Here is a 14,740-nt window from a genome sequence, read left to right as displayed (position 1 = left end):
GAGCTAGACAGGTGACTGTGTCCTACCTCCTGTTTCACTGCCCTCCAATGCCCTGTTCTTTCTTCTTGGAGTGGTCACATCCATCCCTGGCACATGTGGGCCTTCAGGAGAAAGAGCCCACTCAGGCCTTGGCAGATGCCAGGCCCAGACACCACACTCTGCTCAAGCACCCAGTAGAATTTTCCAGTCTCTACTTGGCATTTCACAACCATTGACTAGGGATCTGTTGTATTCCCCAAGCACGGGCTGAGAATCCACTAGGTGCCAGGCACGGATGCACTTTGGTGCAAATTATCTCATGAAGCTTCCCAGTAACTTTCCAAGGCAAAAAAGCCTCCTCGCCCTTTACCAGATGTGGAAACTGAGGCTTGGATTGGTAAGCTCTAGGCTCACCCCTATTCATGGCAGGGGTGGAAGCAGGGTTTGAACCAGGGGTTTGATGTCCACTTTATTTCTCTGCCACTGAGCACAGTCTCCTAATGCCCAGCAAATCTTAAGGTGTTGATGGCTTTTATTCCTCAGGGGCTCAGGGGACTGTCTGGATACCTCTCCTTCTTCTTGGGCCCATGGCTCCTAGCTTAGGGAAGGGAGCACTGGGATTCCCTCAGTCCACAGTCTCACTTCTTGAGCTATGCTGTAGGGTTCTCACCCTTGAGTTTATTTCTGCCTGGCACAGGTGAGAGGAAGCAGCACTGAACTTGGAGCCTCAGACTTAGGTCCAGCTCTGCCACCATGTCACTGAGGGACCCTGGCAAGGCCCTTCTCCACTCTGTGGTCCCAGTTTCCTCATTTGCTCAATATTGGGTGGCATTTTATATTTGCAACAGTCACTTTCAGCTCTGGATGCCTCCTCCTTCTGTAAGCTGGCCGTCCATGGCTGCAGAAAATGACTTTCTCTCTGCAGATTTTGTAAAACGTTCCTTGGGAATTGTGATTCAGGCTGCTCCTTTCCCTGGTCCCCAGCCCTTGATTTACAATCCAGATAAATTGTATTTTCTTTGTAACTCCAGAGTAGGGTGGAGGATAATGGAGCTGGAGCCCCTTCCCTCAGCTGCCACAAGATAAAACTGCCTGGCTGAATGGGCTCTCGTAAGACCCTTCGAAGGTGGCTTAGAGCCAAGAGGGGACCTGTGGGCTCACAGCCACACTGGCCTTTGTCCCTCGAGGGCTTGTCCCCTCCCCTTGCAAGGCGTACACATTTTCTATGGTTCCCGAGTTGCCCTTTCCCTCTGGCTGGCCTGTCAGCTTCTCTTGTCAGCTCTGAAGCCCCCAGTTCTCCTTGGGGGTATGTTTGCTTAGCTTTTATATCCAGACCTAAGCTGCATTACTGAAGGCCTACTACGTGTGTCAGGCCCTGGGCCAAGTCCTTTTTATGCTTAAAAAGAAATCTTTCTCCTTCTCTCTTAATCCTCTCTTTTTCCACTGTGGGGCTGATTTATCCTTCCATTTTCCAAGGGAAGAAACTGAGGCTCGGTGGGCTGTGAACCTGAGTGACAGAGCTAAGACTAGGCACAGACCCACTGCCTTCTTCCCTTGTCACTCTGACAGTCTCCTTCTAATCCTGAAAAACGAGGGCCCCCGAATGATTTCCGTGACAGCTACTGGGCTGTTGTTGACTTCAACCACCCATGTCTGAAATATTTTTCTCAGTTTCTCAGCACCTGGGAAGGTGATGATCCCACAGTGGAGCAGCAGAAAAAGCTGTTCCCTGCTATGGCACAAATGCAACTCATTGCCCCAGTTTGAAGGACAACATTGGTTGCAGCCTTTATGTCTGGCTATGGTGCTCAGGGGATATTCCGGAAGCGGTGTTTGAACCCTGGACCTATATGTATATCTGTGGGACTCTGGGTCAGTTTCCAAGTCTCTCCATGCCTCAGCTTTCGCCTCTGTCAGACAAAGCCAACACTAGTGCCCACCGCTCAGGGTTGCTGTGAGGATTGAATATATGATGTATATAAAATGCTTCAAACGGGTTCTGGCGCATTGTAAGCATTAACTAGTGGAGGTAGATATACCGGAGTGCACTGGGGCTGAGGAGAGAGGACTGGCTTTTATTTTTCTCCTGCTGCCAGGCTCAGGGCCTGGGGCCCAGGTGGGGAGCTATGGTCTGGGGGCCTGCCTGTCCCACTTTTCCGTTCCTCTCAGTCCTGCATGGCTGTCTCTGACAGCACAAGGAGAGGAAGGAGAACCATTCCTGTGTCCTTGGTTCCCAGGAACCAGATAGAGAATCCACGTGACACCCTGAAAATTCTGCACTGTTGTTAGCCAGATCTGGTGCTCAGTGCAGCTCTTGCTGCAATGAATTCCAAATGGCACAGAGAGGCCTTGATGCTCAGGAGCAGCTCGGTGTGTGGGGACTGTGCCTTGAGCTGGCATGAGAAGCCGCAGGAGCACTGCGGCCTGCGGGGCCCACGGCTGCCGGTCCCTGCTTGCTCCACTCCTGGCCTGGCCTCTGGCACATGGTGGGGTTGTGCTCTCTGGGAAGCCAGCAGTGCAAATAACAGAGCAGAAATGTATCTGGGGGGCCCCAGCCTTGTCTGATACGCTCTCCTCTCGCTCCTCATGGCCAGAACTGAGCCCTAGAAAGCTAGGTCAGGCAGGACCCCAAGGGCAGCCAGCACCTCGGCTTGTGTCCCCTCCTGCATGGAGCAGCCTTCTTCCCTATTTTCTGCCTTCAACCAGCCTTTCCTGATCCCATCCATTGTGGCTAGGGGGCCTGCTGTGTTGAAGCCGTCACTGTCTCTGACCTCTGGTTCTTATTCTCTAGGGGAAGGCACTAGCCACACATGATGCAGCATGAGATGGGCTGTGGGCAGGAGCCTCCCTGGGCTGGATGTGCATGGGGTGCCCGGGAGGGCTTTCTGACAGGGAGGTGGGAGCTTGAATGGGATGGACAAATAAGAGTCAGCCAGGCAAACATGGCAGGGAGATAGTGTCCCAGGCCAAAAGGGCAGGGCCTGCAAGGCCAGAGAGTTGGGGCAGGGGTGGGCAGAGAGAGAGAAAGTGGAGAGGAGGAGGAGAAGAAAGAGGAAGAGGAGGAGGGAGAAAAAGAAGGAGAAGGAGAAGAAGGAGGAGAAGGAGGAGGAGGAGAGAAGCAGGAGAAGGAGAAGTGGCAGTAGCAGGCATTCCCCCCTGGCTGGGCATCATGTGTGGGGGTGTGGGTGGTGAAGATACCCTGGACTGGGGGTCAAGATGGGGGAAGATGAGTCTTGGTAGCCACACTATGGAGGTGAGATTCTACCTGGGGGCTGTGGAAGCCTGGTAAGGGTTTGTGTTAGGTGAGCAGAGTGAACTTATTCCTGCTTCCTGAGCATCATTCTGTCTTCTGTGTGGGAAGCAGTGAGGAGAAGGGAGCAAGGCTGGATGCCGGGGCGCATCTCAGAAATGCTGTTGTCAACAGGCAGGAGGGGATGCAGAGTTGGCCCAGGATGGTGGCTGTGTGGAGGGAAGGGGACAGGTAGATTTAAGAGTCATTGAAGCTTTGTGATTGAGTGAATGTGTTAACAGTGGAAAAAAGAGGGAAGGCTCAGGAGTGACACCTCTCTGCAGTACTCCTGCCAAGATTTGCAGTTGCACTTTGCATGCCTCCAGTGACAGGCAGCTCACTACCTGCTGTTTAGAAAGGTAATACTTCTGTTTAAATCTGTCTACATGTGAGTCTTAAGGCTGCAAAAATGAACATACCTCTTCTTTCATCATAGCCTTCTCGGAGTTTGAAGGCTATATAGTCATACACACCTGTTTTTTCTTGGCCATCATCATGCTTTGTTGTTGTTGTTAAGTGACTGTCCTCAGATTTCTCCATCAAGTTTGGACATATTATTATAGTCTATTTTATTTTTTAGTAAATCATACCAAATAGTACATTTACAAAGAGAATGACAAGAGCTATGTTGAGTAGAATAGCCTCATCACCCTACTCAGAGGATTCTCTTCTGGGAGACGATTCTAAAAGGAAGTTCAAATTATAATTAGATAGTCACTTGGTGAGCATGAGAACAGAGGCAGGAGAGCAAGCTCACTGATGTCAGGATGCTCAGAAAGTAAGGCCCATTGGAGGTGGCTTTCCTGGGACTTGGTCCAGAACCTGGCTTAGGGGTAAAGGTGTTTTGAAAGCCACTGATGACTCCAGGTTGCTGGCAGGGGTGCTGATGGGTGGTGGTGGTCTCTGTTTCCCAAGAGGCATCTAGGAGGGAAAGCAGGTCAGAAGTGGGTGGCAGAAGGAGATGCTGAGCTTGGGCGGGACATGAGGTGTTGGAGGTGGCTGTGATGCCCGAGGAACTACTCAGCAGGTGCACCTCCGTGCTCGGAAGCACCACCTCCCCAGTGACTGTGCAGATCCCTCCCAGGCTGCAGGGCAGCTGGCTGCACTCCAGGCCTAGGACAAAGGATCCCCGTTGCACTCCGTTGTGGGCTGCTTTGTGCAGAGGGCTTGGGGCACTCATCAGCACTGCCTGGGACCTCCTGCCGCTCGCCATTCCACAGGGCCAGGCTACGGTCCCGAGAGACTCACTTCCAGAAATCACCAGGCCTCAGGTTACCGGCACAGCCTAGGACTGCGGTGCTGCCCCTCCTGGAGTCAGCTTGGCTGATCTGGAAAAATCTGGGTCAGAGCAAGCCCAGAAAAGTTCAGGGTTCAGGGAGCTCATTGTAGCCACATAAGTTGGTGGCTGAGCAGTGCCGGGCACTGTGTGAGGCTGGAACACACAGTGCACAGATGCCCCAATCAATACTTGCTGATGCTCCTGTCGGGAAGATGGCCCTGACAGCTGTGTGACCTTAGATGAGCTCTTGAGCTCTCTGAGCCTCTCTTTCTTCATGCATCCAGATAGAAGTAATAGCTCTTGCCTTTCCCCACTCTGCCTCCTTCACAGAGTCTCTGTCAAGAGCAAACGAGGTAATAAACACGAAAGTGAGCTCTCAGCTGCATAGGCAACACCAAGTGAGAGGTAAACAAACACCCGTGGGTGAACAAAAACACACACTGGAGGGCAAAGTGGGGCAGCTCATTCACCAGGCTGCCTGTCCGGGCCTCCTGCACCATGGAGGGCTGTTCTGAAAGTGGGCTGGGCTGAGAGATGGGAGCAGGAACTGTAGGTAGGAGGGAGAAATGGGCAAGATGGGGAAGGTGAACTACACACATGCATGCACACACACACACACACACACACACACAAACACATCACACCCGATGTGGGGGGTAAGAGAGAGACAGAGACAGACACATAAAGACAAAGTCCTGAGCAACGTACACAGAGGGGAAGCCCTGACACCACATACCATGCAGACAGAGACAGAGGTGGAGGGAGAGAGAGATGAGAGAGACAGAGACAGAGAGGCACGGAGAGAGGGAGGCAGAGAGAGAGATACAGAGAAATCGTGATTCGGAGAGGAAGACAGAGACAAAGACAGAGGCATTGAGCCTGACAGCTAGACACATAGGAAAAGAGGGAGAGGGAAGCAGAGTGAGAAAAACTGAGAGAGCAGAGGAGATTCTGGGAGAGGAAGGGGACAGGGAGAATTGGGGGAAATCAAGAAGTGATAGAAAAAGAAAAGAAGACGGGCCGGATGCGGTGGCTCACGCCTGTAATCCCAGCACATTAGGAGGCCGAGATGGGCTGATCACTAGAGGTCAGGTGTTCAAGACTAGCCTTTCCAACATGGTGAAACCCTGTCTCTACTAAAAACACAAAAAATTAGCCAGGCATGGTGGTGCGTGCCTGTAATCCCAGCTACTCAGGAGGTTGAGGCATGAGACTTGCTTGAACCCGGGAAGCACAAGCTGCAGCGAGCCGAGATTGCGCCAATGCACTCCAGCCTGGGTGACTGAGTGAGACTTTGTCTCAAAAAAAAAAAAAAGAAAAAAAAAAGAGGATGAAAGACTGAAAGAGGTGGGGTGAGTGAGGGGAGGAGATGGAGCAGGGTCAGAGTGGGGCTGGGTGGGCATAGGATAGGGACCCAGTCTGAGAGTTTGCCCCTGCGGCTACTTGGGGCGTCTGTAGCCTCTGGCCCTCCACCCCTCGTGCTGGGTGTGCTCAGAGCAGGAAGCCGGGCTCCTAAGCCTACCTCCTGGGGAAAGAGTCCTACCTTGTCCCTGGGCCTGCTATTGTGGACATGCCCTAATCCTGCCCTCCAAAGAGGCTCAAGGAGGAGCCTCATGCTTTGAAGTGAAGAGGCAGGCTCTGGCCCTGGTGGAGCCTCCTCAGAGGTGGGCCTGAGAGCTGAGTTTGTCTGGAGTGGGCCATTCCCTGGATCACACCAGCTACGGGCCTTCACCAAGCTCCCCTCCTAGGCCTCAGTTTCTCCTCTGCCAAATAAGTGCTATGAGGGCCCTGTGAGGCTGACACTAAGTTCAGATTTCCAGGCAGCCTGGTTTCATGCTCTGTCTCCTTAAATGAGGGCAGTCCTGGTCTTTTCCCATTTTGCTGTGATTAAGGTTCAATTTACCTGTCTTTACAGTTCTTGTTTTCTGTGCTGGTGGCCTTTGTCTACCTGTCCCAAATCCCTTGACTTGGTGTCTCTTCCCCATATTTGGCCCAAAAAAGGCTGGGACCCTTGGTGACCCTGAAGGGTAGTATCATGTTTAGAAGGGGCTGGACTCTAGGTCCCAAGACAACTACCTGGCTGTTGTCTGGGCCCTGAAGTTCTGGAGAGAAGAGTTCTTTTATTTGTAAAGGGGAGGCCCCTGCTGAGTAAAGCATCCACATCAAGTTGTGATGGGCTGGCTGGCACTCCATGCTAAGATCATGAGAGTAGAATGGGAGTAGGGTGGGTGAAGGTCACAACATCCCTCCTCCTCTGTGCTGGAGCCCCGTCCCTCCCCAAGTGGTGGTCAGACCTCTGCAGGCAGGGCTACGGGGATGTGTTGTTCTTTCTTGTCCACCCCTGTTCATACTCTAGGCCCCTCAAGATGTGGCAGTCAGTAGCAGTCCTGGCTGGAGGGAGCTGGACCCCTTGGGTGTAGGAGTGTAGGAGCTAAGCTACCCTTTTGGCTTTTGGGGAAGAACATCCCACCCTTCTTTAACAGGGAGCACAAGAGGGCACGTCTCCTGCCCAAGGTCATGCTGCAAGGTGACGTTTTCTAGAGCCAGGGTGCAAATACTGGTCATCTGACTTGAGTATGCTGAGGACAGTGGCCTGCTCCAAGGGTCTGTTTCATCAAGAAGGGATGCCTTTCCTGAGGAGTGAAACATGGAGGTACTGGGTGCAGCGAATTCTTAGAGCAGAGTGGAAGGGAGGTCTAGGCGGAAAATGATAACATTGATCTTCAGCCCCAAATCCAACTCAAAAAGCAGAATGAGCCCAAGTCAACTTCTGCTGATTTCCTCTGCCTGGTACAGAGCCTGGCACTTAGTGGGGGCACAGTAAAAGTTTGTGAGTGAGTGAATGGATTCACCCACCATCCGGATAGTCTGGACATGGCACCAAAGGTGGGGAGCTCAGGCACTGGGAGGCAGCACCGTGGCTTAGGCTTCTGGGTGCTGTGACTTCTCTGCTGTCTCCTGCAGCACAACTTGGGAGGGCCGGGTAAGAGTGGCTGTGTTTGAGGAGGAACCAGGAGAGATAGATCTTCCTTTTTTCACAGAATGGGCACTATGCTTCTTCTATCCTCTGAGTTTGGTACAGGGGAATGGCTGATTTGGATGTGGGCTGGGCTCTGGTTGAAGGATACACAGGCTGGTATTACACAGTTAAAAAGTATTCCTTCCTCATTTCCCCTGCCTCTGTTCTTGCCAGCTATCACAATTTATCAGATTCTCTTTAGGCTCCTGCCCTGTGCCAGACCAGCCCTGGGATGGGACAGTGGCAAGGCTGGTATCAAGAAGAGCAATGTTGTTCACAGACCACCATGCTCTCTGTCTAATGGTGGGAGGGGTGTTATTGTAATCATAAGATTATTGGGAGTGTTCATGTGACTGGATACTTGGGTGGGGGTTAGGGCAAGGGCTCAGGATCCCAGGTGGGGAGACTGACCCTTTCTTCCTGGAGGATCTGGGCCTTGAGGGATTAGTAGGATTCAGAAGTCAGAGAAGAGGATGGGAATTTCAGACTGAGAGAAGAGCATGTACTGAGACAGGGGAAAGATGTGATATGTTCACGAAGGTGTTGGGTGGGGCTGAGCCCTGTGTTGTTGGGATAAGGGTGGAGCCTGGTGGGAGATGAGTTTGGAGCACTAGATTGGAGTCAGATTGTAAATGGCCAAATGCTAAAATATGTGACCTTTGCTCTGAGGGGAGAGGGAAGTTACAAAGCGTAATGATCATGACTGTGTCTGGGATTCAGGAACAGCAACTATGCCAGGTAGAAGGTTGACAAGCAAGGGCATGTACAGATGATGGGAGACCTAGGAAGAGGCAGGGATAATAATAACTTGGATGAAGACAGTGATGGAAGAGGCATGGATAATAATCATATGGATGAAGATAGTGATGGTGGTGAAGATGGTGATGATGATGATGTCTATGTGATGCTAAAATGGTGGTGGTGATGATGATTGTAATGATGATAATAATGGTGATGGTGAGGATAATAATGGTGATGGTGATGATAGCAGTTATAAGGATGGTGAGATGGTGGTAAAGATGACTGTGATAATGATGTTGATGTTTGTGGTGGGAATGATAGTGGTAATAGTGGTGATGATGGCAGTGATGTTGATGATGACAGTTATGTGATGGTAATATGGTGGTGGTGATAATTATAATGATGGTGATGATCTTGATTATAATGGTGAAGGTGATGATGATAGTTACGATGGTGGGATGGTGGTGAAAATGGTTATGATGATGATATTGATGGTGGTGGTGGGAATGATGATGGTTATGTGATGGTAAGATGGTGGTGATGGTGATGGTGGTGATGATGATGGTGATGATGATAGTTATAATGATGGTGGGATGGTGGGATGGCAGTGAGGATGGTTATAATGATGATGGTGATGGTGGTGCGGGAGATGATGAGGGTTATGTTGTGATGGTAAGATGGCGGTGATGATTATAATGATGGTGGTGATGATGATGGTGATGGTTATAGTTTTAATGATGGTGGGATGGTGGTGAGAATGGTTATGATGGTGATGGTGGTGGTGGGGATGATGATGGCTATGTAATGGTAAGATGGTGGTGATGATGATGGAGATGGTGGTGATGATTGTGAGCCCCAACCAGAACAACAGAGCTGAGATGAAGAGGAAGGGCTGATTTGAAAGCATTTGATGACAGCACAGATTTGGATAGGGGCAGTTGTGAGGAAGAGACGAGCAGAGTTTCTGGTTTGGATGCCACAGTGGCTGGGGCCCATCATCCAGAGATGGGAACCCCAGGGTAGGAGCTGGCTTGTGAGGGGAGAAGTGTTTGTCTGCTTGGGCAGCTCATGTGTGAGATGCCTGCAGCCTTCTAGGGGAGGTATCCAGTGGGTAGTGAGCACTCAGGTGTGGAGCTCAGCAAGATCAAGATTGGAAAGGCACTGGCAAAGCAGTGAGTTGGTGTGTGTGGTGTGTGTGGGGCACAAATGGGAGCCGGGGTCCTTGGGACCACTTGGAATCTAACAAAAAGCAGAACTGGGGATTTCGAGGAAAGCCAGGGGTCCAAGGAAGTGCCCAGGGGCTGCTCAGGGGCCAGGGGTGGGCATTGGGGTGAGGCTTGGCTTGCTACCCCTCCTGCCCCAGAAGAGCGAACACTGGTTTTGCCTACATGCCAAGTTCTAAGTAAGATGACATTTGAAAATAGAGTTCTATGCTAAAAAGTCCCTAATACAGATGGAAGAAGCGAGGTCCAGAGAGGAGGGACCTGCCTAAGTGACTATTGTGTGGCAGCCTCGGGCCCTGCCACCACTCCCAGGCTCTGCCAGTGCATCTTGCTGCTTCCTGCATTCTTGGGTACGTGGGCTGGGGGCTGCTGAGACCTTAGCATGGGGGTTCCCTTCTCATCTCTCTCTCAACATGCCCTGCACAGCCCCCAAAGCTGTTCAGAGTAGGGTGTTGGGTGGGCGCGCCTAAAGGGGTGGGTAGGGAGCGAGGTGTGAGGAGACTCCCTGACACCCACCATTGCCCTTACCCAGTGACTGGCCTAGCCCAGGCGTGGCACCCAGTCAGCACCCAGCTGTGCTGTGGGCCCAGGCTGGCTGGAAGTAACAAGAGCCTGGCCTGTTCTCCTCTCTCCTGCTGCAGGCCTTGCACAAGGCCAAGATGTCCTTAGGAAGTGAGTTGCCTCTCTCCAGGGGATGCTTCTGGAGTCCCGTTCACAGATCCAGCCAGGATGTTTTGCAGTGAGCTTAGAGAAAGCCTTCATTCCAGGAGGAATCCGGGAGTGGAGCGCTCCGTCAGCAGGGGTCTGGGTGAGCGGGTTCAGGGCTGCCTTCTGGGATGTGGGGTTGGGAGTGGCTCTGGCTGCCTGGTAGGCCCATTCCTCAGCCCCTTTGGGACTTTGGCCTCTAAACTGTTTATCTGTCTGTCTGCCTGTCCATCTGGATTAGAGAAGCCAACTGGCTCACTCCAGTTCCCCAAACTGCCTGACTACTGCAAGGCAGTTTAAGCTTTGTTTTGTTTCATTTTATTTTTGATTAATTTTGAATGTGACTCAAAAGTGATTACTGAATGAAAAGGTGTACTTACCTCCAAGCCATGCCCCCTGCCTCTGCGAGTACATGTTTCCCTCCTGTTTTTTGTTTATTCATCCAGTTTCTATTGGCAGATAGGAGAAACTACACACCTACATTTGGATCTTCTTCATTTCTTACCCCAAAGGAAGCTTTCTGCATGCATTGCCCTGCACCTTATTTTTTCCCACTGAACAATGTTACCTGGAGATCCCTCCACACTGACAACACAGCAATCTCTGTGGTTCTCTGTTGGCAAGGGCTGTGCCATAGTTATTTCCGGCATTTGAGTTTTTAAACCCAGACACCTACAAATACCATGCCGATTCCGCAGCCAGGGCTTTCTTTGTATTTGTTTGTGGAAGCCAAAGGTGCAAGGTTCTTCCCTCCTTTTGGATGGCCCTACTGTATTCCAGTTCCTTTCCATGGTCTAATATGTGCCTTTCCTGCTACCCATGTGGCCAGCATTACTATTCACTTTTTGCATGGGAGAAAACTGAGGAAATGAGAAATCAATGAAGTTGGGGATTTGAACGCAGGTCAATCTGGGCTTAAAATCCTTCCTCCTCATATGTCACACTTCTGGGGAAGATATAGCCACTTGGGCCTATGTTTCCAGGAGCCAGATGACGCTCCCAAGCCCAGAGAGGGACAGTGACTCGATCTAGGTCACACAGCAGCACATGGGCAGCTTGCCAAGGGGAAGAATCACTTCCCATCAGGCCTGATACTTGAGCAATCCCATGGGTGAGTGGGGGCTCCCCAAGGTGCTCCTTCCCTTCCCCGAATGCCTGGGCAGAGGGGCTTCAGGCACACATGCCAGGCATTCTCACAGAAGATCGTCAGTAAATGATTGAGCGGGTTGGTTTTACAGATGGGCACACTGAGGCAGAGGAGACAGGGCACAGTCACATGGTGCACCTGCAGACAAACAGGGCGAGGTTCCAGTTCTCTGCACTAATAGTCTGAGCACCTACCAGGCCCCAGCTTGCCCTGCCCATCACCTCCACACCTGGCAGTGCCTGGTCTTTCCCCACATCCTTGCTTTGTTCTCCTCCCATCATTAGCTTCCTCTTACCTTCTTTCAAGATGACAACCTCTTGGCTCCGCTCAACCCTTGCCCATGGGCCTCAGACCCCTGTTTTGGTAGTAATAGTTGGCTAAGGCTGGTCTCCGCCAGCATGGGGGAGCAGGGTGGCTTGTGTGCAGGATCCTGGCAGTCAGCAGCTGTGATAACACCCTGGGCTGTGTAAAACACGAGGGCTGTGCATGTATGTGAGAGAGATAGTCGAGGCTCAAACACATACACCCACAGCCTTTGCTCCACGGTCTCTTACTGGTGACTCTTGGGTTTTTCCAGTGTTACCGTTCTGAAGTTCCCTCCGTCCTGGGTGGGCTTTAGATTCTCCTGGACCATAAAGGCAGGGAAGTTTCTGAGGAGGGCCAGTTGCCTCCGCTAGTGGTCTGAACGAGGCCTCAGGCCCTAGGAAATCCTAAGACCCACACCACATCCATGCCGGACCACCTTTGGTGAGCATGAGATCTTGGACAAATCACTTCCTTCCTTGGTTTTCCCTCCCATAAAGTGAGAGGTAAGAATCCCTGTTGTTTTACTCTCAGGGGCATTGTGAGGATGAAATGAGCTGTTTGCTGGTAATTGTTGAGAACTGTTCCTGATTCTGTGATTTCCAAGTTTTGCAGGTGTATTGGTCTGTTCTCATGCTGCTAATAAAGACATACCTAAGGGTGGGTAATTTATAAAGGAAAGAGGTTTAATTGACTTACAGTTCCGCGGGGCTGGGGAGACCTCAGGAAACTTACAATCATGTTTGAAAGGAAAGCAAACATGTCCTTCTTCACATGGTGGCAGGAAGAAGAAGTGCCAAGCAAAAGGGGAAAAGCCACTTATAAAACCATCAAATCTCGTGAGAACTCACTCACTGTCATGAGAACAGCATGGAAGTAACTGCCCCCATGACACCATGATTCAATTACCTCCCACCAGGTCCCTCCCACAACAAGTGGGGATTATGGGAACTACAATTAAAGATGAGATTTGGGTGGGGACACAGCCAAACGATATCAGCAGGCAAAAGAAATTTCACTTTATGTTGTCATGTACATGCATACGTATACTCGTGTACGTATGGAAATTTAATTTTGCATCAGTGTGTTTAGGGACTGGGGTCATATATTTGAGTATGTGGGTGCTTGTGTTTGTTAATTAGGATTTAAATCTAATTTCATCCCCTCAACACCTTGCATGGAGCAGAGTGGAGCCTAAGCAGCCTGCCTGTGTTTGAATGTCGTTGCACTGCTTGCTTAGCTGGGTTGAGTAGAATAAGCTGTAAAACCTTGGTGGGCTTGTTGTCTTCATCTGCAAAATGGGCCTAATAAATGTGCTTCCCTCTAGGCTCTCATGCAGATTTGATGCTAAGCACATAGCTCCTGGAACAGCCTGAGCCTCACATATCACCCTTTAGCAGTTCTTGGCCCTTAGGCCATTTCGTTTACTTTGACAAGAAGTGGAAGAGAAATGGTGTGACTGTCCTTACCTGTAACATTAATTATTACGAGAAAGAGGGTGATATCCCCAACCTCCCACCTTTAGATCCGTTTCTTTTTTCTTTTGATGGTCTAGATATTTGATTCTTGGGGGGATTTCTCTGCTTGAGGGTAAGAGTGCTGGAGGAAGGCAATGAGAGGAGGGTTTTTTTTGTTTGTTTTGTTTTTTGATGGACACTTGGAGCCCTCAGCATTTTTTTCTGGATGTACATTTGTGGTAGAGGAAACTGATGCAGCCAGAGAGCTGCATTTCTCTGGTGGAATCGGCCACTGTCCATAGCAGCTCTTTCTAAACTGGTACTCAGTGGGTTACGTGTAGTCTGTGATGGTCCCCACACACCAAGAGGGGCACCTCCTCAGGTTTTGGAAAACCTCTCAGACTGTACTTCCCTTCACAGACATCAAAACGCTTATTGGTATTATAAAGATGCTGTAAAACCTGCCATAAACAAATAATTTTAATTTGGTTTAACCCAGAGTTTCCCAAACGTTCTCTTCTTTTGCATAATCTCTGCTACAAGGCTTTGAGGAATACACTGTAGCAAGTACGGATCTGTGAAATCAATAGTATGGAAATCAACACCACCATGTGTCAGCAGGTCACCCTGGGACACAGGAAAATGATATGATGCACAGCAGTGCCTCTCAAACCTCAGTGCACAGAGGTGTCACCCAGGGAGCCTGTGAAAATGCAGATTCCACATCAGCAGGTCTGGGTGGGGCCTGAGTTTCTGCATTCGTGAAAAGCTCCCTGGTAATCCTCATACTGCCAGCCCAGGGACCACACTTTGTGTGATGAGATTATAAAGAATCCTCTGCTACAACAGAATTTCACCTGCACCCATTCTTTCAACAGCATTGGGAGACCAATGACCACCTCCAGCAGTTCCCGAATCAGGCCATCAGCCCCATCGGCAGGGAGCTGATCTTGTCTCCCCATGCTGGACAAGCAAGCCCCCTTAGGAGAAGGAGCAGCCAGACAGGGGCAGCGGCTGGAGCTAATGCAATGACCATGGTTCAGGGATGGCAAAGTCCTTCGAGCTGCGCAATGTTGGCAGAGTCTGCATGAAAAGACGACAGTCGGCCGCACTTCCGCCACCTCTCTTGTCTCTGCAAATAAGATTTGGGTTGTTAGTGTTTTAATTTATTTATTTATTAATTTTTAAAGAGACATTTCCCCTTTCTTTCCTTAGGTCTGGAGTCATTAAACAGGGATTAGCTGGATAAATAGAGGAAGTGATTTTTAAACTGTTTGCAAACTTAATGTGAAGAGCCCAGCCTTGCAAATTATCACGTCTAATCAGAGGCCCTCGCTTCACTGCTCCAGTAATTGTACTGGTATTAGTCAAATTCTTGTTGTCTCCTCATTAGCCATGAAAAGGAGACTCAAGATGTACTTCATTAGAGTGTCCTGGAAATATATTGCTAATGCGGAGATGGAGGCGGAGGAAGGGAGGGTGGGAGGGAGAGAGGTGTGGGGACGGGGCAGGAGCATGTAGCATCTACATCTGGCACTGTGGACTCCTCACCTCTCTCAGCTCCGTCTCACACGGGGCCTCCTCCACTTACCTAGGCA

At 50.5% G+C, this 14,740-nt stretch overlaps 1 annotated feature.

Moving 5' to 3' along the window:
• Positions 9,603-10,103: an enhancer, noted in NCBI's record as "H3K4me1 hESC enhancer chr10:80660163-80660663 (GRCh37/hg19 assembly coordinates)". NCBI's record gives its function as "activates a minimal SCP1, AML or CMV promoter by ChIP-STARR-seq in naive H9 embryonic stem cells {active_cell/tissue: H9 hESC(naive)}" and the evidence as "EXISTENCE:reporter gene assay evidence [ECO:0000049][PMID:30033119]".

This window comes from Homo sapiens, chromosome 10, assembly GCF_000001405.40.
Source record: "Homo sapiens chromosome 10, GRCh38.p14 Primary Assembly".
NCBI lineage: Eukaryota > Metazoa > Chordata > Mammalia > Primates > Hominidae > Homo > Homo sapiens.
Note: the sequence above shows the minus strand (reverse complement) of the source record. Positions and strands in the feature narration are given on the sequence as shown.